This window comes from Homo sapiens, chromosome 12, assembly GCF_000001405.40.
Source record: "Homo sapiens chromosome 12, GRCh38.p14 Primary Assembly".
Classification (NCBI taxonomy): Eukaryota; Metazoa; Chordata; class Mammalia; order Primates; family Hominidae; genus Homo; species Homo sapiens.
Window position 1 is genome coordinate 119,282,310 of NC_000012.12, and position 27,073 is coordinate 119,309,382.

A 27,073-nucleotide genomic window follows, 5' to 3' on the forward strand; every position below is an offset into this window, starting at 1 on the left:
ACGGCCAGACATGGTGGCTCATCCCTGTAATCCCAGCACTTTGGGAAGCCAAAGTGGGAGGATCACTTGAGCCCAGGAGTTTGAGACCAGCCTGGACAACATAGTGAAGCCCCATCTCCATAAAATATGAAAAATTAGCCAGGTGGCTGGGCGTGGTGGCTCACACCTGTAATCTCAGCAATTTGGGAGGCCGAGGAGGGTGGATCACCTGAGGTAGGGAGTTTGAGACCAACCTGACCAACGTGGAGAAACCCCATCTGTACTAAAAATACAAAATTAGCGGGACGTGGTGGCGCATGCCTGTAATCCCAGCTACTTGGGAGCCTGAGGCAGAAGAATCGCTCGCACCCAGGAGGCAGACGTTGCGGTGAGCCGAAATCACCCCATTGCACTCCAGCCAGGGCAACAAGAGCGAAATTCCGTTGCAAAAATAAATAAATAAATAAATAAAATTTAAAAAGTAGCCAGGTGTGGTGGCACACACCTCTAATTTCAGCTACTCGAGAGGCTGACACAGGAGGATGGCTTGAGCCTGGGAGGTCAAGGCTGCAGTGAGCCATGATCGCACTACTGCAATCCAGTCTGGGCAACAGAACAAAACCTTGTCTCAAAAATTAAAAACAAAAAAAAAACAAGCATCACCCCTGATCTTAGGGAGCTTCCTGTCTAGGATTAAATGAGATTTTTTTCTATATAAAACTCACAGCACAGAGCCTGGCAAACAAAACATGCTCAATACAAGTTAACGTTATTATTAGTATTATTTCTATGGCCCAGTTGGGATTTGAACAAAAGTCTTTTTGACTCCAAAATCTTTTCCATAAAGATAGCGTTTTGTAGGGGGCCCGCTGAGATAGGAATAGAAGGGAACTTGAGGATGTTCAGAACAGACTTCAAATGCTAGATTTTTAATACATAGAGCAGCAAGCTACTGTATATATTATACTTCCAAAGCATTCTTAGATCTTCTCATTCTCTTTCTCATCATCCACCCCAGCCTGATGTGCACATGTCTTTACATTTCCGTAAGCACACCCCTCTCCATGGGAATAAATTTATTTCTCCCCTGAATGTGGACCCCGTGTGTTTGATTTGCTTGGAAAGGTGTGGAAACCACCCAGACACAGTGCTAATGGGATGTGACAGAACTCACAGCTTCTCCAGGCCTGGAAGGAAGAATGTTGACAAAGGGGAGCTTAATGAGCTTCCACCCACATTTCAATTATCCTAACAAGCTGCCAGAGGAATCCCTGTTTGCTGTACTGCATTCTGGAAAGTTTTGACAAGCCCAGGAGGAATCTATCCAGGCTGAAGCTGAGGGTGCCTAAGGAAAAGAAAAACAGTCTTCCTCTGGAAGGGATGTGCATGGATGACAAGGCCAAGCCAGCAGTCAGCTTTGTCCCCTGATATTTGAGAGGGTCCTCTGCTCAAAAAACACTCCCTCATTAGCTACCCGGTACAATGTATTGGTTACCATAATGCTGCATAACAAACAACCACAAAGCCTCAGCGCGTACGGTAACCATCGATTATTTTCACTCACAAGTCAGTGGGTCAGCTGGGCAGTTCTGATCACCTGAGCTGAGGTTGGTGGGGTTTGCATATATTTCTGTGGTGAGGCTAGGTGGCTCTGCTAATCTTGGTGGGGCTTTCTCACACATCTGGGACAACTGAGCTGATTCTGCTCTTATTCACATAGTCTGTCATTCCGCCCACAGGTTTATTCACAGGACAGCAGGAGAACTCCAAGAGACAGGCCAAAATCATTCAGGGTCTCTTGTTCCCAGGCTCAGAAAAGGTATAATGTTCCTTCTGCCACATTCTGTTGGTCAAAGCAATCACAAGACTAGCCCAAATCCAAGGATTGGGAAATAGACTTCAACCCTTGATGAGAGGGGCTAACAAGCCATGGCAAAGAGTGTGGATACCATTGATGAGGTCCATCAGTGCAGTAAATCTCCCACAACAACGTAAAAGTTACAAAGCACCATGGACTGAACAGCAACTGTATGCATATAACAGGATGCTAAAATGGAATATTTGGGTATTGGTTTCAGTTGAGGCTCCATGGGCCAAAAACAAAATGAAATGTTCAAATACCTGACATTTCCAACCTTGCAAAGGGTCTAAATGGAAATAGTTTTCTGACTCTTGGTCCAACGGCCATCTCTGAAAAGGCTGAAGTTGGAAACTGGGGAGAGGATTTTTCTGGAGAAAGTAGTCCAGTATGAAGTTAGTCTCAGTCCCCTTGGAAGAGGAGAGAGGCAATGACTCCTGACCACAGCCTTGCCTGGTGAGAGGAACTTACAGGAAATATCTCTAGTTTGCTGTGAATTCCCTGAAGTCTGGGGAGACTGGCATCTGATTGAGACCTGAAAAATGTATAGATTAGTCAGACCATGGCTGGAGTCTATCAAGATCTCAGGATGAGGATTGAGGATAGCACTAGAAGCAGGACTTACCCTGATCCAGGTGCCAAGGATGCATGAGCTTCCCATGAGTCAAGCAGATGTGCAGAAACTGGAATGGAGGTGTCTTAGAAGCATCCCACCTGAAAGGAGTAGAAAGAGGTACTCACAGCTACCACCTGGCATGGGATCTGGGAAAGAGGCACCACAAGAAGGGAACTGAAGAATCCCCACCTGAACACAGTTCTCAGGTGAACAATTGGGGGACTGTGCAGCGTGGACGCCACTAACAGGGACCTCAAAGAATCCACAATACACCTCAAAGAATTGACTCAGCTTTGATCACTTGCCAAACCTGAAGGAAGTTTAAATACCTGCCAGGCAGAGAGCACCAATGCCAAACTGTGACACTACTGGTCAAGAGAGCCCTTATCTGCCCTCACCTCTCCTCCCTCTGCTCCCTTGGGCCTTTGGCTAGCAATCAGAGAAAAGGTGAGGACCTAGGGAAGCCAACCACAAACCCCTTCCCCAACATCTGAGCTGAGAGAGGGGTGACCAGGGCTATTGCTAACCCACACTGATACTACTTCTTTGTTTGAACTAGAAAAAAAAGTGCCCCCTCCAAGAACTGTACCTCCATTTATCTGAAGTTTGTCATTATATAATCTATTTGTTGTCTATTACTGCATAACAAATTTCCCCAAAACTTGGTAGTTTAAAACAGCTATTATCTGACAGTTTCTGTGGGTCAGGAATCCAGGCACAGCTGAGCGGAGTCCACAGGCTCAGGATCTCTCACCAGGTTGCAATCAAGGTATTGGCAGGGCTGCAGTCTCAGCTGAAGGTTTGAACGGGGAATGATCCTCTTCCAAGCTCATGAGTGTGGTTTTTGGAAACATTCAATCACTCCAGGGCTGTTGGCCAGTGGTCATGCTCTCAGTTCCTTAATATGTGGGTCTCTCCACAGAGTAACTCACAACAAGGCAGCTAGTTTCTTCAGAATAAGCAAGAGAGAAAAGCTGGAGAGAGGTAGTGCCAGACAAAAGACAGTCTTTTATAATCTAATATTGGAAGTGACATTCCATCATTTTTACTGTATTCTATTCATCCGAACAAAGTCACTAGGCCCGGCCCCAAGGGGGTGTGATTACACAGGATGTGAATACCAGGAGGAGAAGATAATTAGGGGGTTATCACAGAAGTTCATCTACCAATATAATAAATATGCTGATTTTATTAAAGCAACAGACCACTGCCATCGGCCAAAGAACTGTTATAATAAATACATAGATTGACAATGTATATTATATAAACAATACCCACTAGACTTATGTGCTATACAACATGCCAATTATATAAGGTTGTTTAGGAAAGATGCTTTAAAATCTTTTTCAAACTTTTATTGTATAAGTTTTCAAGCACTTATAAAAGTAGGAGATAGGATAACAAAAAAATAATAAAATAAACATGATCATTCTTGTTTCACTAATACCCCAACCCTTTACCCCCAAACCACTAGTTATTGAAAAGCAAATCTCAGACACCACCTTACTTCATCTTTAGTAATTCAGTGTAAATATCCACATATCTTATGTACCATTACTCAATTAAGAATACCTTAATTTCATCTACTATTCAGTTACTGTTCAAATTTCTCCAATTATTTCAGAAATGTCTTTTAAAAAAAAACAGTTGGTTTGTCTGAAAGAAGCTTTAACTTTAAATGAAACTTGGAGTTTTAACCATTACTTAAGAGCAGGCATTTTAATTACTGACACAGAACTATTCTGTGAGAAAAATGACTTCAGGACATTTTATTATCCAGGAATCACCAGCAAAGTGATGGGGGATGCTGAAAATTTTACCCACGGGCAGAGGAAGCTTCAACTCATCAAAGCCTTGCCAATGGACAGTGGAGAAAACAGTGAGGGTGCCTTCTCACACTCAACAGAGTCCCGCTTATTCACCAGGTGAGTGACACACAGGCTATCTCTAAGCCTCACTACAGTCCTTTGGTTGGGTGTTATAATCCTCATTTTAACAGATGAAAAACTTAAACATAGGCGAATTAACTCGCCTAAAGTCATACAGCTATTATTAGGTAGAACCTGTATTCCAACTCAGGTCTGTCTGACCTCTCCAAGGGGCTCTGGAAGTCACCTACCAAGTAACACTGTCATAGTCTTAGGACATTAAGACACTGTGAAAGCCTTTTTTACAGTTGTGACAGAAGTTAGCAAGAACCAAACCACATCTTCTATTCATTTTTGTTTCCTGGGACTTGACACAGAACTGGGTACACAATAGGTGCCTAATAAATATAAAGCCTTGAAGCCACCATAGCACAGAACCTTATTTAAAGAAACGTCCATTATGGCAGCCAGCCAGTCAGTCTGAAAAACAATTTCCGCCCGCTGCCCCATCTACCATCAGCTTTATCTCAACTTGTTTTCTTGGCAATAGTGGCAGGGGTAGAATCAGCTGCAGAGGTTGGGAGCAAGACAGATTCAGGCCCACATTACAGGAACTCACCTGAGAATATTCAATTTCACTGAAACTAGAAACTAGATATTGAGAAGAGTCTGGTGGAGAAGTTCGCAGCATTGTTACTTTTGATAGGACAGCTTTGGCCAATAAACTGGATTCTTTCATTCCATGAATCCCTCTCAAAAGCCATTATCTGCGTCTGAAACTGTCCATACTCCCCACCCGCGTCTCTTTGCCTGACAAACTCCTAATCCTTCAGAGTTCAACAGAAATCTCATTTGCTCAGCGAAGGCTTCTCTGCCTTCCTGGATGAAGTTCCATCCTTCTCATATGTGTACCTATCATGTATTCAGTCCTCTTTCACTTGGAACGACATGCCAGATAAGGAAAAAATTGCATCTATCTTGTACCTGGAACATAGTAGGCATTCAATAAATATTTTTTGACTGATTTTTTTTTTTAAGCAAGTTTAAAACTGCAATTACAGCAGGGCACGGTGGCTCATGCCTGTAATCCCAGCACTTTGGGAGGCTGAGGTGGGTGGATCACGAGACCAGGAGTTCAAGACCAGCCTGACCAACATGGTGAAACCCCATCTCTACTAAAAATATAAAAATTAGCTGGCCATGGTGGTGCGCGCCTGTAATCCCAGCTACTCAGGAGGCTGAGGTAGGAGAATCGCTTGAACTCGGGAGGTGGAGGATGCAGTGAGCAGACATCACGCCACTGCACTCCAGCCTGGACAACAGAGTGAGACTCCATCTAAAAAAATAAAAAAAAGAAAAAAAAGAAAAAAAATACCACAAAACTGCAATTACTGAAGTCTCTTAAAAAATATCACAGAGCACAGAGGCATTCCATTCACACAACAGAGCAAAGCTTAAAATGCACTTCCTTCTTCTCATTGTGTTCCCCACAAAACGCTCCACTACATTCTTCTCTTCTCTTTTATGAACTCCCTAAAATCTTCAAACCTAGCCATGCCCCCTGGCTTGTGTTCCCTAGTCTTCTCTTCCCATGCAGCAATTTCTCCTATGAATCTACTGAGCCTTTCTATCTCTTTTGAGTTTTCACATTTATCCATTATCCAGATTCTAGAAAGCAAAGAAAGCCTTCAAACTGACCCAATAATCTTCCATCCTTGGAAAGTGAGACAGGACCATAAACTCCTAAAGTAATGGATTTATGCCCATTTTTGTTCCCTGCTGTGTTCTCAGTCTTTAACTGATGCTTGATCAAGATTTACTAGTTGAACAATATAGTTCTCTTAAGCTTATCATATATTTTTATTGTTGATGATGAATAAGTAACAAGAGGTGTTGCCAGAGTGAAAGAAGGGAAGGAAAAGTTTAATAAGGAATCATTTCTCTATTTGGAGGTCTAAGATGGGAAGTCTGCCTGAAGAACCATACCAAGTGGAACACAGCCCCTGGTCATTCCCAGACTAGACGAGCTGCCATGTGCTGCTGAATCAGCAGGAAACAGCACGGGGGGCAAGAGCGAGGTACAGCTCGGCAGCGTGGCAGCAATTTGGCTGACAATTTCCTTCTATGTTTCAGCATAATTGAATTAGCATCCATGGAGACTGTCTCCCAGACATCGGCAAATGCAATACTGTGGAGCAGGCGCTGCAATTCATCTGGCATTATGAGGCATTGAATTGCCATCCAATCCCGCACCTCTCCTTGTTGCTTTGTGTGTGCTCGTTAGAGAAAATTACGTGGATGCGACAAGCCTGGGAACAATTAAAATCTTCCCACTTAGCCAATTCCCAGCAGTGGTGTCCAAGTTCTTCTGATAGGCACTCGGCTTGCTCAGCTAGTATGCCCAACTTCCTGGACGTGCTTTCAAATTTTAAGTAATGGATAAAAGTTCATTTTGCTCCAGCTGAGAATAGGAATTGTTAGCACATAGAGGGACAGCCATGATATGAACCAACCAGAACATCATCCATAGTGGATAGTATCAAGACCAGGAGTCCTGGAACTCAGTCCAACTAGGAAGAGTATTTCTCAAGACAAGTCTAGGGCAATGGAGCTGGATGGTGAGTCAAAGTCAAGGGCCAGGGAGACAGCATCCAGCGTTGCATCCAGAGGGCTAACAGAAACTAGATGTTGGGGGTATTAAAGGCAGGATGCAGCAGACAGTGAGGAATAGCATTGAGTAAATGATTCAGAACCAAGCTTCTGAACATCAAGAAAGTGCTAGATTAAACAGAGGCTATGGGTGGCCAATTAAAGAATTGTATTCTGCTGGCTGGAGGGAATGGCTTACAACTGCTAGGGAGCAGAATGGTGTGAGGAAAAGAGCATATTTTCAGAGTCATATGGATCTTCTGCTTCCTCATTGGAGAAAAAAAGAAACCCATCTTGCAAAGTTAGGAAAGGATTAGAAATGCGCTAGGAATAAAGGTATTATCTGAATAACAGGGCTTTGTCTTGGTTTGAGTTCCACCAGAAAGGGATTGTATTCATCCATTCTCACACTGCTATGAAGAAATACCCAAGACTGGGTAATTTATAAAGGAAAGAGATTTAATTGACTCACAGTCCCTCATGGCTGGAAAGGCCTCAGGGAACTTACAATCATGGCAGAAGGTGAAACAGGCATCTCTTACATGGTGGCAGGTAAGAGAGGTGAGTGTCGTGCAAAGGGGGAAGCCCCTTATAAAACCATCAGATCTTGTGACAACTCACTCACTGTCATGAGAACAGTATGAGGGTAACCACCCCATGACGCAATTACTTCCCACCAGTTCCCTCCCATGACACGTGGGGATTATGGGAACTACAATTCAAGATGAGATTTGGGTGGGGACACAGCCAGACCATATCAGGGATCCTGAGATCAGGATTTGAGTATGAGTACTTTATTTCGGAGGAGAGTGGGATGTATTAGTCTGTTTTCACACTGCTGATAAAGACATACCTGAGACTAGGAAGAAAAATAGGTTTAATGGACTCATAGTTCCACGTGGCTGGGGAGGCCTCACAATCATGGAAGGCAAAAGGCACTTCTTACATGGTGGCAAAAAGAGAAAATGAGGCAGAACCAAAAGCGGAAACCCCTTATAAAACCATCAGATCTCATGAGATTTATTCCCAAACATGAGAACAGTATGGGGGAAATTGTCCCCGTGATTCAATGCTCTCCCACCGGGTCCCTCCCACAACACATGGGAGTTACGAGAGTACACTTCAAGATGAGATCTGGGTGGGGACAGACAGCCAAACCATATCATGGGGGAAAAGAGTCAGGGAAAAGGAAAAAAACCTGTAAAAGATTTGTAAAATCAAGCCAACTACCATTTTGGTGGGCATCAAAAATAACTTCCTAGGAACTCTGGGAAACCATGCAGAATACATGCCTCAATGTGCTTCCAACTCAGCAGTGAGGGATCTCGGAGCTTTATATACCAACTCCCATCAGTCATTGGCTGATGGCTTCTCCCAGAGGATGTTAATTCCCTGGCACTTCTGGTCTCCTTGGGAATGGGCAGACTGGTCTTCCTCATCTTCAGAGAAAGCCCCCAAGCACAGAGATGACAATACTGAGAGATGGCATTTGGCCTTTCAGGGTTGCTATGATAAATTCTGATGGGGCACTGACCACTTCTACTGCCAGTTTTGGGAGAGAACATGTCACAGAACTCCATCAATTCTATCTAAAAAATCTCCCTTCCAATTTCTTCCCCTCTCCACACTTCAACAGGAACCCTCTTATGCCCTCAAATTAGAGGAAAGGCTAAAGGGACATGAAACAAGTTCTGGCCACCTCGTTAGCTGGTTATGTTGAGAGTATTGGACCTCACTTTGGAGCACTGGGTGAGTTGGCATTTACTGTTTTGTTCTTGGCTTTCTTACAGCGGGGTCCCCAAGCCCTAGGCCACAGTCTGGTAATGGTCCATGGCCTGTTAGGAACAGGGCCACACAGCAGGAAGTGGGCAGGGGGAGAGCGAGCAAAGCTTCATCTGTATTTACAGCTGCTCTGCATCCCTCTCATTACTGCCTGAGCTCCACCTCCTGTCAGATCAGCCGCAGCATTAGATTCTCATAGAAGCACAAACCCTATTGTGAACTGCACATGCGAGGGATCTAGGTTGCATGCTCCTTATGAGAATCTAGTGCCGGATGATCTGTCACCATCTCCCATCACCCCCAGATCAGACTGTCTAGTTGTAGGAAAACAAACTCAGGGCTCCCACGGACTCTGCATTATGGTGAGTCATATAATAATTTCATTATATATTAAAATGTAATAATAGCAATAAAGTGCACGATAAAAGTAATGTGCTTGAATCATCCTGAAATCATCCCCTGACCCCGTCTGTGGAAAAATTGTCTTCCACGAAACCAGCCCCCGGTGCCAAAAAGTCTGGGGATGGCTGTCTTACAGGACTCAGTCCAAACTGAGACAATGTGTCCCATTCTAATACCAGCAGTAGAAGTGGTCAGTGCCCCGTCAGCATTCACCATATCAGTGCAGAAAGGCCAACTGTCATCTCTCAGGGAAGAGAAGGGGTGCACTCCTCCCACCTGAAGCCTAATGAAAGGGGCTTTGCAGACAGGCCTTGGAGAGCTTGATTTCTGTCCCCTAATGATTGGGGAACCCTGTGGACTGGAGTCTGAATCATACCTGAGAAATCTAAGGGGCCCAGGGATAGCTGAAGAGGGCTTCAATTTGGCAAGCAACTGCACTTCCACCAAAGGCCAGTGTTTTCTGTGGGGGGCAGGGGATAGAGAGAGAGCATGCACAAACAAGCTGACCTAGGGATATTTGAAAGATGTTTTGCCTGATCTTCTCAGGTATGATGAGCCTCTGTGAAGGTGGGCCATGAAGGACCAAGGCCAGAGGGGATGTCATGCATGACTGGACAGTTGGAATGTGAAGCTTGTGCAGCTCCAGTGCCGGAGAACTACAGGTAAGAGATGTGCATATAGGGTCCCTAAAGATGAACGTGTCCTCAGTGCACTGAACAAAAGCTCTCACTCAAGAGTGTTGCAGACATTCAGCCATGTTCTGCTCTTAGGATGTACATACCCACGCGGGCTTGCAGAAACCTAGAGAAAGAGAAAGGCTTTTTCTTTTTTCTTTCTTTTTTTTTTTTTTTTTTGAGACGCAGTCTCGCTCTGTCGCCCAGGCTGGAGAGCAATGGCGCGATCTCGGCTCACTGCAAGCTCCGCCTCCCGGGTTCACGCCATTCTCCTGCCTCAGCCTCCCAAGTAGCTGGGACTGCAGGCGCCCGCCACCACGCCCAGCTAATTTTTTGTATTTTTAGTAGAGACGGAGTTTCACCGTGTTAGCCAGGATGGTCTCGATCTCCTGACCTCGTGATCTGCCTGCCTCGGCCTCCCAAAGTGCTGGGATTACAGGCGTGAGCCACAGCGCCCGACTGGGAAAGGCTTTTTCTAACTTGCACAAGACAGCATCCATTTGCCAAGCTGAGCATACATGAGGCTGTGTCTGATTCCTTTTTTCTAATCCCTACAAAGATCTTGTGTTTCAAAGCCAATGGAGACAGAGTTTCAAAGTTCACACGAACTCCCCATGAGAGAGTGGCATCCTGTAGGACCCAGCTCACAGCAGCAGTCCCAGTTAAGTGAGACCTTTTTCTACCCCTTGTCTCTTCCCACTGTGCCCTCACCAACCTTAAAGGGTCAAGGGCAGCCTGGCTGAGGAAGAGATTGGAGGGCAAAATTACCACTCTTTTAGAGAAAACTCACGAAGCTGATGGTTCCCATTTCCCACTGCAGCTTCTGCCTGCAGCAAGTCTGAGAAAATGAAGTCAGAGGCGTGACCCTCCACTGGACTGGACACATTAATCACTGAACTAAAGTGTTTTGGGGGGCCACAGATGCCAATGACATTTTTATTACCTACACATAACAAATTTGTAGCAAAGGGGCCTGGCTGACATTCATTCAGAGGCAGAGAGGACCGGTCCTGAGATTACACAACAATAGGGGAGGGGGCAACAAAAGTAGCTTTATGATTGTATCCCACAGCCCTGCTCTTTCAATATACAGGCTATTTAGAGAAAGTGTACAATAAGCATTGCATATGGAAAGCCTCCAAAAGACACTCAATAAGTGGTTGCTCTTGTTATTATGAGCTGTTGTGCAGGTGAAGGTTAAACCAGATTTTCAGAGCTAAATGCCAAGGGGGTTGCACTTGATTATCAGCCCTGAGCTGGACAGTTCAGGAGAAGGAAATGAGTGGCTGAGAGCAAGGTCTACATACCAGAGTGGAGCATGAGGGGCCCCTCCACACCACCACTGCTGGGTCATCAGCCACAGGAAAACTGCGTATGTTGTGATCATGATGCTGGCTCCTGGGAGAGCATCTTTCTTGTCCCCGTTGGACAGCAATTCGAGAGGGAGATTTGCTAATTTGTCTTTCTGAAGCTAAACATCAGGGTGGGTTGGGGAGGGAAGTTGGGGTGGGAGTCAAGACTGTCTGCTGCCTGCACCAGCATCATAATGCAAAGAGGATTGCTCACCCAGAGCTCAGGTCCCAGGCACAGTACAGACACAGGTAGAACTTCTGTTTCTTTGGGGTTTAGGGAAAGTGCCCTGGAACGCCTCATGCAGATGCCAAAAAAATAAAATCAGAACTAAGACGAAGGGATATCCACACACAACCCATGCTTTCACTGGTTTCTTTCTTTACCGAAGGGTAATGGAGATGAGCTGTTTTATTTATACCTGATTCACATTTCAACAGGAAACTCTTGAGCTAGCTCCTTTTTCTGTAAAACACAGAGCTCCTTGAGAGCAGGGACTGTGTCTCGACTCATCTTTGAATCCCTAGGACCTAACCCAAGGCCTGGGTAATACAACAGAAGGTGAGTGGGCTTTAAGCTCATACAAATTAGGGTTTGAATTGCAGCTCTGTTGCTTACTAGCTGTGTGACCTCAGGCAGGTCGCTTCACCTCTCTGAAGTTCAATTTCCTCATCTGAAACATGGAAATAAAAATATCTACCTTCAAGTTTTGGAGAAGCAGAACTACATTTAAATTAAATATGCTGATTATGATAACTGGCCCCCGGAAAAATAGTAATTATCACCATCATCATCATCATCATTATTTTCCTTTGACATCCTCTCAATTCCTCAGTTATGTTCAGACGGCTCTGGTTCTCTTACAGAATTTACTGCAAACATTGCCAGATCATTTATATACTGAAGACACCTCCGAATTTTGGCACAAATCCTTAGTTACACAGTCTGTAAACATAGTCAGAGCTGAAAATACTTTTTCATTATCGGATAAGAAGATTCCTTTCTTGTCCTTTCTGCTGTCTCCTCATGCTCTAGTTCTGCCCCCAGTGGGTCCTGAGAAAGGTAATCTTGCGTGACATGTGAGCTTTATACCTGAAATCAAATTTGGCATCCCAGTTCCCAATGGGGCAAGTGTAGCATTTTCACATATTTCCAAAACGTCAAAGAGAATAGCCGCCCCTTTTGTTTCATGCCAGTTTCCTCCAAATCAGTTTTCTACTCAGTAATTTATCTGAGATTCAGTTGCCTAACCTGTAGAATGGATCTGTAAAGTGATCTAAAAACACTATCCTCACACATAGGAATGCTCTGAAGATGGATGGGTGGCCAGAGAACTCAGCTTACTTACATAGCCACTTTCATCCATCCCCACTGTACCAGGGGAGGAAATCAGTGGGTCTGTCCTTCCCGGCTGCTGGCCAACATTATGTCCAGGCTGAGCTTGATCAGATTTGCTCTGCTGAGCAAAAGGAACCAACTCTAGGACACTTTTCATGAATTCTGATCAAATGCCCCACCCAGCGTAGCTACGGGGTCCTGCTGTGTTCTTACTGTTTAACCGTTTTGGAACTCTATAAGCTACAGAAGACATAGGAGAGAGGAGAGTGTTTTAGGGGGAATGGAGGGACCCGTCGCAGGGTTTGTGACTGGCCATGGTTAGAGACAAGGCTGAAAGGAAGCAAGACAGGACTGCGAAGGTGAAGAAGCTGCAAGTGGAGGTGTCTAAATATCATGCCCTAGGCACCAGGACCGGGGCAGGAAATCAGAACCGAAAAGAGTATCTTTCTCTTGTCTGACTCCATCAAGTGACCACACATGGAAAACTGGATTTCTGGTGTGGAAGGTCCCCAAAAAAGGAAAAAGGAGAGGTGAGCGGGAACAGCCATTGCAGATATCACTTACTGAGCACTGTGCTAGGTGCCTTACATAGAGTATATATTTAATCCTCCCAATAACCCAAGAGGTTGGTATTATTATTATGCTTTTTATACAGAGATGGTAACTGAGACCCAGAGAAGTGCCTTCCTCGACATTCCCCAGCTCACTCTATCTGCCAGGCCTTTAATGTTTCCATCATTAATTCAATCTTCAACCATCACCGACTGAGTGTTAGGCTCTGTGCCAGGCACTAGAAGGGTTCCAATCAGGTAAGCAGAGAGAAGAGAGGAAAAGAATTTCAGACAAAGGGTAAAGGGGTGAACAGAGCACAAAGCCAGAACGCAGGAGAGTTTTGGAATTCAGAAGGTGCTTAGCATGCTAGGAAGCAAGAGGGTCAGACCCACCTAGAATGTTCCTCAGGGAAATTTTCCCTGTAGTCCCACCTCCTCCCCAGTTCCGTTGTCACAGCTACAAGAGAAGCCTGTGGGGTTATGGAGCAACTTTTGCTTTTTTTCCAAAGTTCCAGGAATAATGGTGCCAGCAACCCGTGCCTAAGTCAATCAGAAACAGAAACAGAGCCACAGTCCCTGGGGGGAGCAGGTGTCACCTAATCCCACCAGGAAGATATAAGTCTCTCTAAATCATGGTTTTCCAGAAACAGTCATGGTGACAACAGCCAGTAACACTTACTGAGCAATTTACCGTGTCCTGAGCTCTTATAGGCATTTCACACACATGAGCCCATTTAACCCTCACTCTATGAGGTAAATAGGTTAATGATCCCCCATTTCACAGATGAGCTAAACGAGGTTCGGGACTTGGAAGTGGCAGAGTCAAGATTCAAATCCAGATTTATCAAACTCTGAAGGCTTTTTCTGAACCCCTGTGCTATGCCATCCCTCCCACCGTCCTGCAACTGTGAGCTCACCCCACTTCTCTATGGACACGGGTTGGCCTACTCCTAAGAGGGCTATGGCAGGAAAACCAGCATGGTAGCCCTGCCCCTTATGAGCTAGGTGACCTTGGGCAAGTGACTTCACCTCCCGGAGCCTCAGTCTCCTCATCTGTACAATAGGAACTATATCCTAGAGTTCTTGTGAGCACTTTACACAGGACTTCGTGCACAGAAAATGTGCACACTGGAGATGATCCATCCCTCTTAGGAGTCTCCTACACCATCCTCACTGTTCCATTGGAAAAACAAAGCCAAGCAGACCCTGGAATGGTGAAGAAAAGGCCACAACTGTTTGCAACAACCAGACAGTGAGACCTGGCAGCCAAGGTTGGATTTTGCTCACCTTCTTTTCCCAGAAGGCTGGTCACATGACGACAGGCATTGAATAAATATTTCTTCTGAAAACATACACACACACACATGCACACATACAGACACACACACAGCAGAAAGGAAATACATCAGCATGTTCTCCCTGGTTATCTCTGAGCTGTGGAACTTTATCTTTCCTTTTGCTTATCTGAATTTTCTGATTTTTCTATGTTGAGCATGTACTATTTGTGGCACCGAGATCTTGAAAGACACACATCCCACTATAGATTACCTCTGGGAAATGAAAATGGGAAAACCTAATTAATTAGGAAGGCTTTTTTAAAGCTTTGTGTTCATTCTTCATTTTTGTGTTACTTTTGAAATTTTTTACACTTTCTTTTTAGTTCAAATTTATTTTCTTCTTTTTCTATTCCACCAAAAAGTGTTCCTCTGGATGGAATACTCACAAAGACCCTCTCCCCAGCCCCAAAAGATTACAAGGAAGTGAGCTTCATTCCAGATACGATGGTGGAGTCCAGCTAATCTTTTCTTGTGTCTTTGGGAATTTGCTTGCTGTTTGACCCAGATGCTCTACATATGCTCATAAAAACCTTCTGCCAAACTTCATTAGCCATTTAGGCTGCTGTGGTGCTATTCTGAGTACCTTATCTTCTGGCATTAATTTAAAGCAACATTGTCTTACCTCTGTAGGCATGCTTCCATGAGTTAGAGGCTTAAAAAATAGACTGCAATGGATTTTGTCAAAAATTGCCAAAAATCAAAATGTCTGGTTTCATCTCCTATTTCATTTCCAAATGATTAGTAGCAACTGCCTGTAGCACTTAGCAGGAAGGACCCTGAGACCATTCCCAGGTAGAGCAAAAACAATCAAATGGCAAGAATTTAAAAACACCTGCCAGGCACGGTGGCTCGCCTGTAATCCCAGCACTTTGGGAGGCCAAGGCGGGTGGATCACTTAAGGTCAGGAGTTCAAGACCAGCCTGGCCAACATGGTGAAATCCTGTCTTTACTAAAAATACAAAAATCAGCCAGGCGTGGTGGCGGGTGCCTGTAATCCCAGCTACTCGGGAGGCTGAGGCAGGAGAATTGCTTGAATCGGGAGGCAAAGGTTGCAGTGAGCCGAGATTGCCCCACTGCACTCCAGCCTGGGTCACAGAGCAAGACTGTCTCAAAAAAAACAAAAAACAAAAAAAACACCATACACCATAGCCTTTATGAATTAATGTTTTCTGCTAATGGATTACTGATGTCTGCCATGGCATGAAATCAAGGGCTATTGGCATATCTGATATCCCAAATCTAATAAAACACGTCCTCCTTTCACTCCAAAGAAGCAAACTGGTAGGACTCCCACGTGGTACAGTGTGGCAATAATACAGCTATTATTTGTGGAGTGACACATTGATTTCTTTTTTAATTTTTTTTTTTTTTTGAGATGGAGTCTTGCTGTGTCATTCCAGGCTGGAGTGCAGTGGTATGATCTCTGCTCACTGCAACCTCTGCCTCCTGGGTTCAAGTGATTCTCCTGCCTCAGCCTCCCAAGTAGCCTGGATTACAGGCACCTGCCACCAGGCCCAGTTACTTTTTTTGTATTGGAGTGCCACTTTGAGCAAAGGATTTTCCACACCTAACACATCTTATAGCAACTCCTCAGTTATCAGGACAGTTTTGGTTACAAGTATCAGACGGCCAACTCACACTAGCTGAAGCAAAAAGGGTGTGTTTGGGCTCATGTAACTGAGAGGAGAACTGAGTTAGAGCTTAAAATCACAGGAAGAGCTTTAGGACTGACAACAGTGACGGGTTCCAGAAACGACCTCTCTTTATCTTATCTCTGTTTGTATTTGCGTGTTGATCTCTCATTTCATCTTTGCTATGGTTTGAAGGTGTCCCCCAAAGTTCATGTGTTAGAAACTTGATCTCAAATGCAACAATGTTGGGAGGTGGGGCCTAATAAGAGGCAATTGGGTCATGAGGGCTCTGACCTCATGAATGGATTAAGGTTGTTATTTCAAGAGTGGCTTTGTTTTTTTGGTTTGTTTGTTTTTGTTTTTCTTTCTTGTGACAGAGTCTCACTCTATCGCCAGGCTGGAGTGCAATGGCGCAATCTCAGGTCACTGCAAACTCCACCTCCCAGGTTCAAGTGATTCTCCTGCCTCAGTCTCCCAAGTAGTGGGACTACAGGCGAGCACCACCACGCCCAGCTAATTTTTGTATTTTTAGTACAGACAGGGTTTCACCATGTTGGCCAGGATGGTCTCGATCTCTTGACTTCGTGATCTGCCCGCCTCGGCCTCCCAAAGTGCTGTGATTACAGGCGTGAGCCACCGTGCCCGGCCGAGTGGCTTTATTATATCAAGTTCCAGTCCCTCTTGCTCTTGCACTTAATTACCCTTCTTTCATGGGATGACACAGCACAAAGGCCCTTGCCAGATATAGGCCCCACTACTTTGGACTTCTCAGCCTCCAGAACTGTAAGAAATACATTTCTTTTCTTTATAAATTACCTGGTCTGTGGTATTGTTATAGCAACACAAAACAGATTAAGACACTCATACTACAAACAGGCCTCTCCCATATGAAGAGGAACATGGTTGCTGTTTTCCCAGTGCATGGAGTGCTAACTTTTCCCAACATGTGTTTATCAGTCCCAGGTGAAAACTCTGATTGGACTGTTTGGGTCATATGGCCATTCTTTGGACCAATCACTGTTTATTGTCACATAATTTGGTCAGAATTCAGCTATATTCCCATCTTTTTTGGCCAAGGGGTCTGTGTCTACCAATAAAAGAAAGGTTTAGAAAGCTTAACAGTCAGTTAAAAATCAGGGCCACTATGAACAGTTGTGCAGGTTGCATGCTGCACAAGGGCACCACCAGCTGTGTGGATAACGAAGGGATAAAAATCCTGCCTGTGCCCTGCTTACAGAGCAAGCCATAAACACTGGCCCCAGGTACATCTGCTAGAATTGTTCTAATTCATAACATGGTGTCATGCAGGCTAGCATTAGCCCAAGGAAAAAGCAACAGCTACTGAAAGACACTGCAGTCCCTAGGAAGTAAATAATGATTATCCCATTTTTAAGATGAGAAAACAGAGCTCACAGAGGCCAAGTGAATCACCCAAGGCTTTACAGGAGTCTCTCCTTATTCTGAATCCCCAGTAGATGCCTGAAACCATGGATAATACTGAACCCTACATACATATATATTTTTTCCTATAATGCAAACCTATGATAAAGTTTAATTTATAAATTAGGTACAGTAACTAATAATAAAATAGAACAATTATAACAATGTACTGCAATAAGTTATGTGAATGTGATCTATCTCTCTTCTAAATATCTCACTGTACCGTACTCATCTCTGTTCAGACAGCAGCAGACCACAGGTAACTGAAACTGGGAAAAGTAAAACCGCAAATAAGGGGGAACTACTGTACAGCAGCAAACAGTAGAGTCAGGATTCGAACCCAGGTCTGTGTGGCTCCAAAGCCTATGTTTTGCCTATCATAACCCACTCAACAACCTGTAAGAGAAATGGGACCCACCAGGCTCCTAACAGCTTGAAGAAGAAGTGAGAGAAGTGGATTCTTGTGCCTCTTCTCTCTGAAAACCCAGTTAACCCCATAGAAACAAACAATCCACTTAAGAAAGCCAACCCAAGCCCAAGACGGAACACTCCAAAAAAAAAAACAAAAACAAACTGTGTTTACAAACAGCTTGAAAGTCATGGTGTTCCTCTTAAAAAGGTAATTTCTTGCTTGGAACAGTGAGAAATTAGATGCAATCTGTTTTGATTTCTTTGCAATTTAGGACACGCTTTAGTGACCAATCTGCAGACATGCCAGTATCCTTCTGTCCTGAGGGTATGTTGGCTTAGTTTGTGTCTCTGTTCATAAAGGAAGTCTAAATCATCCCACAGGAAGAGTGGCCTAGAATTTATACCACAGGCATGGAGACAGGCTGAGCAGCCTCTTCCTGGATATTATTATTAATAAGAATAAGAATAATTACCATTTACTGGGCTTTTACTGTGTGTCATGTCTGGTGCTGAAAACATCCATCACCACAAAACCTTACTGGGATGGGGTTGGGGGGATATTTTTGGGTACTCAGCATCTGAACACCCTTCCTCTGTAGGAGGAAAATCCCCCACTGGGCAGTTCTTGGTAGGAGCTGGACCTGTCTCCCTCCACAAGAGCAAAAGAGGCTAGAAATCCGTGAGCTCCCCATGATCCTTTCAATATATTTCATTTCTAAAAAATAGACTTTTAAATTCACAACAAAATTGAGAGGAAGATACAGATTTCCCATATATCCCCTTCCCCCAACATCCTCCCCCACTGTCAACATCCCACACAGAGTGGTCCATTTGTTACAAATGACGAACCTACATTGACACATCATCACCCAAAGTCCGTAATAATATGTGCCCACCAGTACAGTCTCATGCAGAGTCGTTTTGCTGCCCTGAAAATCCCACCTACTCATCCCTTCCTCTGCCCTAACACCTGGCAACCCCTAATCCTTTTACTGTCCCCATCATTTTGCCTTTTGCAAAATGTCACATCACTGAAATCATACCATGTGTGGCCTTTTCAGTTGGCTTCTTCCTCTTAGCAATGTGCATTCCATTAAGTTTCCTCCACCTCTTTTCATGCCTTGATGGCTCATTTCTACATTCTATTTTTGCTTACATTCACCAAAGTCTATTTCTGTTGTTAGCATCCAAGCACCCTGCTACAAAAAAAGTGTTGTTATCCCCATTTTACAGATTAAAAAAAAAAAAACAAAACCCTGAGACTCAGCGAGACAAGACTAGGTGGAAGAGTAGAAAAGCTACAAAGGGCAGAGGAAAGCTGCAGGAGGCACAACGCAGGCGGCACGATGCAGTTGGCAGAAGTGCAGTTTTGTAATCAGGAACTTGGATATGAGGGCCGGCTTCATCACTTACCCGCTGGGGGGAGCCTCTGGAAAGTTGCTTAACTTCTCTCAATTTCTTCATCCATAAAGAAACGGGTCTCCATTTCTTCATCCATAAAATTCAGGCTACTGTGCCTGTAACAAGCAATTCTTGAGAGTATTAAAAGAAATCATGTATAGGCCAGGCGCGGTGGCTCACACCCATAACCCCAGCACTTTGGGAGGCCAAGGTGGGTGGATCATTTGAGGCCATGAGTTCGAGACCAGCCTGGCCAACATGGTGAAAACCTGTCTCTACTAAAAATACAAAAATTAGCTGGGCATGGTAACATGTGCCTGTAGTCCCAGCTACTCAGAAGGCTGAGGCAGGAGAATAGCTTGAACCCGGGAGGCGAAGGTTGCAGGGAGCCGAGATCTTGCCACTGTACTCCAGCCTAGGCAACAGAGTGAGACCCTGTCAAAAAAAAGAAAAAAGAAAAAAAGAAGAAAGAAAGAAAGAAAGAAAGAAAGAAAGAAAGAAAGAAAGAAAGAAAGAAAGAAAGAAGAAGGAAAGAAAGATGAAAGAAAGAAAGAAAGAAAGAAAGAAAGAAAGAAAGAAAGAAAGAAAGAAAGAAAGAAAGAAAGAAGGAAAGAAAGAAAGGAAGAAATCATGTATATATTGCACTTAACACAGTGCCTGGCTCAACATGTGTTAGCTGTGGTATCTGTTATTGTTATTATTTGTGTTCTGTGTTCATTAACCTAATTCTATCCTACCCTGTTATAAGCCAGGATCATCTGACCATCTGGAAGGATTCTGTTTGCTCTATTTTGTCCTCTCCTCAACCCCCAGAGTCGCAGGTGACGGAAAGGAGAGGGTGAGTGACCCTTCTGCCTGGAGATTCTTGACATGAGGTAACTTCTGAAACCAGACATTCCATCTGCTTCTTTCCATATCTCAGGGGAACCCTAGCACAAGGCAGTGGGGGCTCAGCCTGTGCTCATTGATTACGCTAATGATGATGGATTTCCTCCCCTTTGGCACTTGATCAACAGCTGCCCAGTGTTTTATCACCATTTCCCAGGGCAGAGCAGGCCACCCCAACCCCTGCTCACGAGGGCCTTTTCTTTCTTACTCCATGTGACCCAGAACAGAGCCCATTAAAGAACTCACTCATTTCTCCACCCTCCACCCCTTTAATTACAAACAGTGCTGAGAGTTGAATAACACAGAACAAAAGACAGATTTATTTACCCCAGGACATAAACAAGATTATCAGAAACAGGCATTCAGAAGCCCTTAGCTCCTGGGAGAATTTTAATTTGCTGACCCCTGGCTTACAGAAATCTTAGGTCTTTTCACATAATTATAAAACCCCGAGAGTTTTGCCTGCTTGAATTAGTTATTGGCACGCATCCCCAACCCGGCCGCTGGCTCTCATTGGCCAATTACAGGCATCTCCACTGGGGCTTTAAACCGGGCTCTTTTGAGACAATGCAGGAAGGCTGAAAGAAATTCTCTTTTCCTTGGTGAAGTTTTCCTACTGGCGGCTTCCTGGAATGACTGAGGTACACAAACAGGAGGGAGGAGGAGGCATAATTACATTGATTAGAACACTTTGGGTTACAAATCACTTAACCCCACATCGAAATGGCATTAAACCAAAAAGGGACTGTATTGTAACTGAAAAGTCCACCATTAAAGTTACCTTCAGGCACAGCTCAATTCAGGGGCTATCACCATGCCAGTGGGCTCAGTCTCTCTCTACATCTCTCACCTGTTTGCCTCTAGGTCATTGGCTTCTTTCTCATGGGAAAAATGGTACCCAGCCCTCCTAAGCTTCCAACCTATCAGCTCCTAGAATTAAGTCTCATTGGCTCAGCTTTGGTCACGTGCCCAGAGGGAACCAATCACTGTGGCTGGAGGATGAAATATGCTGATTGGCTAGACCTGGGTCATATGCCCAATTTTTTTTTTTTTTTTTTTTTTTTTTTTTTTTTTGAGATGGAGTCCCGCTCTGTTGCCCAGGCAGGAGTGCAGTGGCAGGATCATGGCTCACTGCAACCTCCACCTCCAGGGTTCAAGTGATCCTCCCATCTCAGTCTCCCGAGTAGCTGCGATTAAATGTGCCTGCACCATCAGCCCGGCTAATGTTTTTGTATTTTTAGTAAAGACAGAGTCTCACCAAGTTGGCCAGATTGGTCTGGATCTCCTGACCTCAAGTGATCTGCCCCCTAGGCCTCCCAAAGTGCTGGGATTACAGGCGTGAGCCACCGTGCCCAGCAAGCATACCCTATCTTGTATCTGCGGTGGGACCAATTCTATCTGAACCATATGGGCTAAGGGCATCATGGGGTGAGTCCTCAAAGAAAAGTCAGGGTGTGTACCCAGGAAAAGGGAGACGGATGCTGAGCAGATAAAGGCAACGAAATACTTTGCTTTTATCTATCCATGATAGTATTCCTCTGGGTTAGGGGTTACAGGACACCCCACACTCTTCCTGGAGCAGCTTGGAAGTGGCCATTTTAGCATCTGTTAGGGGTTAAATTGTTTTCTCCCCCTAAATGTATAGCTTGACATCGTAACCCACAGTACTTCAAAATGTGACTGTGATGGTTAATTTTAGGTGATGTGTAGGGGAAAACTCTCCTCAAACTGCGTTTTTCCTCTACTCTCACACTACAACCATCATCAACACAGAAGGCTTCTGTGACCAAATGTGGGGGGCGGTTTCCCCACATACCAAGCAGCGGACACCAGCTGGGTGTCCTCTAATTCAGTTCTGACACCATCTACCTGGAGATAGTATCATATCCCAAAGGTTGAGGGCTCAGTCCCCAAGACTGCCTTTCTACACACACACACCAGTTGCAAGTTTGGAACTTCTGGCAGACGGGCTTCAACCCCCACTTTGGATTTGATTAGTCTGCTGGCGTGGCTCACAAAACTCAGGGAAACACCTACTTGCATTTACCAATTTATTATAAAGGATATTGCAAAGGATTCAGATGAAGAGCTGTATAGGGCGAGGTAGGGGTAGTGGTGCAGAGCTTTCGTGCCCTCTGGGCACCACCCTCTGGGAGCCTCCATGTGTTTGTGAACCCCGAAACTTTCAGACAGGTGTCAGTTAATTTAGAAAGTTTATTTTGCCAAGGTTGAGGACTCGCGCCTGTGACACAGCCTCAGGAGGTCCTGACAACATGTGTCCAAGGTGGTCAGAGCACAGTTTGGTTTATACATTTTAGGGAGACATGAAACATCAATCAACATATGTTGTAAGATGAACATTGCTTCCTTCTGGAAAGGTGGAACAACTCGAAGTGGGAAGGGGGCTTTCAGATCATAGGTAGATAAGAGACAAATGGTTGCATTCTTTTAGGTTTCTGATGAGCCTCTCCAAAGGAGGCCATCAGATATATATTTATTTCAGTGAGCAGAAGGGTGACTTTGAATAGAACGAGAGGCAGGTTTGCTGTAAGCAGTTCCCAGCTTGACTTTTCCCTTTAGCTTAGTGGTTTTGGGGGGGCCCAAGATATTTTCTTTTCACATGTTCAACTATCTGGAAGCTCCCCAAACCCTGTCCCTCTTGGGTTTTCTGGAAGCTTCATGATATCACCATTCCTTCCCCTAGGATATAGGGTGGGACCCTCTAATGGGAGGGTCTTAAGATCCACAGTCAGAAAGGTGGGGGAACATTAGAGTGAAAAGAGGGCAGGAGAAAGTCAGAGGCCCACCCACGAGGCTACCCACGAGGCCGACACACACCATTCTTAAAACAGCCTGTAACAAGGGCTGTGGGAGTTATGAGCCAGGAACCATGGACGAAAACCAGTACATATTAACACCACAGAGGTCAACTTGGCTGCATTAAGGAATAACTAGAAACCTGGTGAAGCATTATTTTGGGGTATGTCTGTGGAGATATTTCCAGAGGAAATTAGCATGTGAGTCAGTGTGAACTAGATGGGGAAAAGCCATCCTCAGTGTGGGCAGGCACCATCCAATCTGCTAGGGGCCCAGAGAGAACAAAACCAGAGAAAGGCAAATATGTCTATCTGTCTGCTGGACTTAGATCCACTCCTTTTCTCCTGTCTTTGGGCAACTCTAAGTTCCCCAGCCTTTGGACTCCAGGACTTAAACCAGCACCTCTCCCCTCGGATCTCAGGTTCTCAAGCCTTTGACCTCAGACTGTGAGTCACATAATTGGCTTCCCTGGTTCTGAGGCCTTCAGACTTGGACTGAGCCATGCTACCAGAATCCCAGGGTCTCCAGCTTGCAGACAGCTTGTCGTGAGACCTCTCAGTCTCCATAATTGTGTGAGCCAATTCCCCTAATAAATTCCCTCTCATCTATCTGTCTATCTATCCATCCATCCATCCTATTGGTTCTGTCTCTCTGAAGAACTCTGACAAATACAGTGACCCTTAGGTCTTTAAAGAGAGAATCAAGTTAAGTCCTGGTGCAGTGGCTCACACCTATTATCTCAGCACTTTGGGAGGCTGAGGCAGGCAGACTTCTTGAACTCAGGAGTTCGAGACCAGCCTGGCCAACATGGCAAAACTCCATCTCTACTCAAAACACAAAAATTAGCTGGGCGTGGTGGCACATGCCTGTAATCCCAGGTATTTGGGAGGCTGAGGCAGGAGGATCACTTGAACCTGGGAGGTATAGGTTGCAGTGATCCAAGATTGTGCCACTGCACTCCAGCCTGGGCAGCAGAATGAGACTCTGTTTCAATAAAAAAAAAAAAAAAAAAAGATAATCAAGTTAAAATAAGGTCATTAGAATAGGTCCTAATCCAATATGACTGGTGTCTGTTTAAGAAGGGGGTATTTGAACACAGATATGCATACGGCGAAAATGTCATGTAAACATGACGATGGCCTTCTACAAGCCAAGTAGACGAGCCTGAAACAGGTTATTCTCTGACAGCTCTCAGAAGGAACCAACCCTACCAACACCTTGATCTTGGACCTCAAGCCTCCAGAATTGTGAGACAGTAAGTTTCTGTTGCGTACGCTATCCAGTCGTGGTATTTTGTTACCCAAGCAGCCCAAAGTAATACGGCATCCTTTGAGGAAGAAGTGAGGTGAAGTGTTCAGGTTCCTTGAGAGCCTGGCTCAAGCCTCACTCCATGCCCTGGGAGATTCCAAAGCTCTACCGGGATTCCTGTAAATCCCTGGGGGGTTATGCCACCGTGGTCCCTCCTGGTTACAGGCTCCTGTTTCCATATGGGTTTTCTCTGTTAATCACCATTGATTTGCATATGACATTCAGCCCTTTCCCGTAACTGCCACCCAGAAAAAGAATCCATTCATCCAAGACATGTCTGTGCACTTTGCTGAAGTCTGTTGGATTAGGGAGAGGAGGAAGTTAAATGGCAAGTTCACATGAAGCTACGAAATTGAACGATAAGAATCCATGTTCATTCATTCATTCATAAAAAAATGTATTTATTTATTTATTTATTTATCTGAGACAGGGTCTTGCTCTGTTACCCAGTCTGGAGCACAGTGGTGTGATCATTGCTCACTGCAGCCTCAAACTCCCAGGCTCAGGTGATACTCCTGCCTCAGCCTCCTGAGTAGCTGGGACTACAGGAGTGTGCCACCATGCCCAACTAATTTTTGTATTTTTTTTAGAGACAGGGTTTTGCCATGTTGCCCAAGCTGACAAAAAAAAAATGTTTATTGAAACCCACTTTGTGCCATCACTGAGGCATGAGAAGACACAGTAAAGAACAAAATAGACAAGACCACTGTCCTCACAGAACTTATATTTTAGTTGGAAACACAGATGATAAACAGGAAAAATAAGCAAGAACATTCCAGATTGTACTAAGTGTCATGAAGAAAATAGCAGGGTTGGGGGCCAGGCATGGTGGCTCATGCCTATAATCCCAGCACTTTGGGAGGCCCAAGGGGGTGGATCACTTGAGGTGAGGAGTTTGAGACCAGCCTGGCCAACACGGTGAAACCCCTTCTCTACTAAAAATACAAAAAAAAATTAGCCAGGCGTGGTGGCAGGGTCCTGTATTCCCAGCTACTCAGGAGGCTGAGGCAGGAGAATCGCTTGAACCCAGGAGGCGGAGGTTGCAGTGAGCTGAGATGGCACCACTGCACTCCAGCCTGGGTGACAGAGTGAGACTCTCCATCTCAAACAAACAAAAAAGAAAACAGCAGGGTCAGGTGGTGGCAGTTACATGGGAATGAGCACTTTGGAGATGACATTTTTTAGCAAGGGCGAGGGAGTCAGAAAATGACTCTTGGAGGAAAAGAAAGTGGGGGTGACTCTAAAAAAAAAAAGAGAAGGAGTGAGCCATGTGCCAGTGATGGGAAGCCGGGCTCAGATTACAGATGAGGCTGTGATGGTTAATTTCCTGTGTCAGTTTAACTGGGCCACAGGGTGCCCAGATATTTGGTTGAACATTATTGCTGGGTGTGTCTGTGAGAGTGTTTCTGAATGAGCTTAACATTTGAATCAGCAGACTGAGTAAGAAAGCCCTCCCCAGTGTGGGTGGGCTTTCTCTAATCCACTGAAGGCCTGAATAGAATAAAAGGCTGAGGCCCAGTGTGGTGGCTCACACCTGTAATCCCAAAACTTTGGAAGGCCGAGGTGGGAGGATAACTTGACCTCAGAAATTTGACATCAATGTGGGCATCATAAAGAGAACTTGTCTCTATAAAAAAATTTTAAAATCAGCCAAGCATGGTGATGTGCACCTGTAGTCCCAGCTATGTGGTAAGCTGAGGCAGGAGGATCACTTGAGCCGGGGATGTAGAGGCTGCAGTGAGCCATGATTGTGTCACTGCACTCCACCTGGGCAACAAAGTGAGACCCCATCTCAAATAAATAAATAAATAAAAATAAAGTTTTTTAAAAAAGAAAAGGCTGAGAAAGAAAGAATTCTCTCTCTCTCTCTCTCTCTCTCTCTCTCTCTCTCTCTCTCTCTCTCCCCCTCCCTGATTGTCTCTAAGCTGGGACATCAGTTTTCTTCTGCCTTCAAACTGGGATGTAGACTGGAACTTACACCATCAGTTCTCCTGGTACTCAGGCCTTTGGACTCAGACTGGAACTATGGGATTATACCATCAGTCTTTCTGAGTCTGGACTTCTCGGCTTCATAATCACGTAAGCCAATTCCTTATTATAAATCTACATATGGAAATACAAACACACACACACACACATATATATATATAGAGAGAGAGAGAGATTGAGACTGCATATCTTCTGTTTCTCTGAAAAACCCTGACTAATACAAAGGGCCCCAGGGCAGCATAACCCCTGACAATAGGGCCAGATTTTTCCCGAAGGGAGTGGAAATTTCCACTGCCAGCATTCTGGAATGAGGTCAGACAATGAGGCTGTGGAGAGGCAGACCTTCGACTGGGCCGCGGTGGGCATGGGTTCCAAGAAATTCGTTGCCCTGACCACCCAGGCCCATGCTCTGTGAACGTGTGTGTCCAGTGAGGGCCCTGGGCTCTGAGCACATTGCCTGCAGGAGTAGTTGGGAGCAACACTTCATGCCTCCTTCCCTTCTATCATCCTGGAACTTTCAGTAGACTCAGCATAAAAGCTGCGGCCTGTTCTTTGCTGGTGCTGTAGACAATGAGGAGAGGGTCTGTTCTGGGTCAGAGGGGAGGGGAAGGTGCACCTGGTGGAGCAGCAGCAGCTGGAGGCAGAAGGAGGGGAGCTGAAGCGCGGAGAGAGCCGCGCCTCGTGGGAAATGTGAGGCAGCGGTCCAGAGAGCGCAGCTGGCTACAGTGACAGGCAAGATGGATCTGCGGAGCATGCCCGTGCTCCCCAGCGAGGGAAACCTGGT

At 45.1% G+C, this 27,073-nt stretch overlaps 1 long non-coding RNA gene across 1 annotated transcript, besides 1 other annotated feature; it reads right to left on the minus strand.

Moving 5' to 3' along the window:
* Positions 1-1,515: 1,515 nt before the first annotated feature.
* Positions 1,516-21,071, minus strand: LINC00934 (long intergenic non-protein coding RNA 934). Its single transcript, NR_024246.2, has 4 exons — positions 21,026-21,071; positions 19,300-19,722; positions 2,463-3,427; positions 1,516-2,372 (listed from the first exon to the last, which is right to left on the minus strand). It is a non-coding gene; the product is annotated as a long intergenic non-protein coding RNA 934 (long non-coding RNA).
* Positions 25,347-25,848: an enhancer, noted in NCBI's record as "NANOG hESC enhancer chr12:119745461-119745962 (GRCh37/hg19 assembly coordinates)". NCBI's record gives its function as "activates a minimal SCP1, AML or CMV promoter by ChIP-STARR-seq in primed H9 embryonic stem cells {active_cell/tissue: H9 hESC(primed)}" and the evidence as "EXISTENCE:reporter gene assay evidence [ECO:0000049][PMID:30033119]".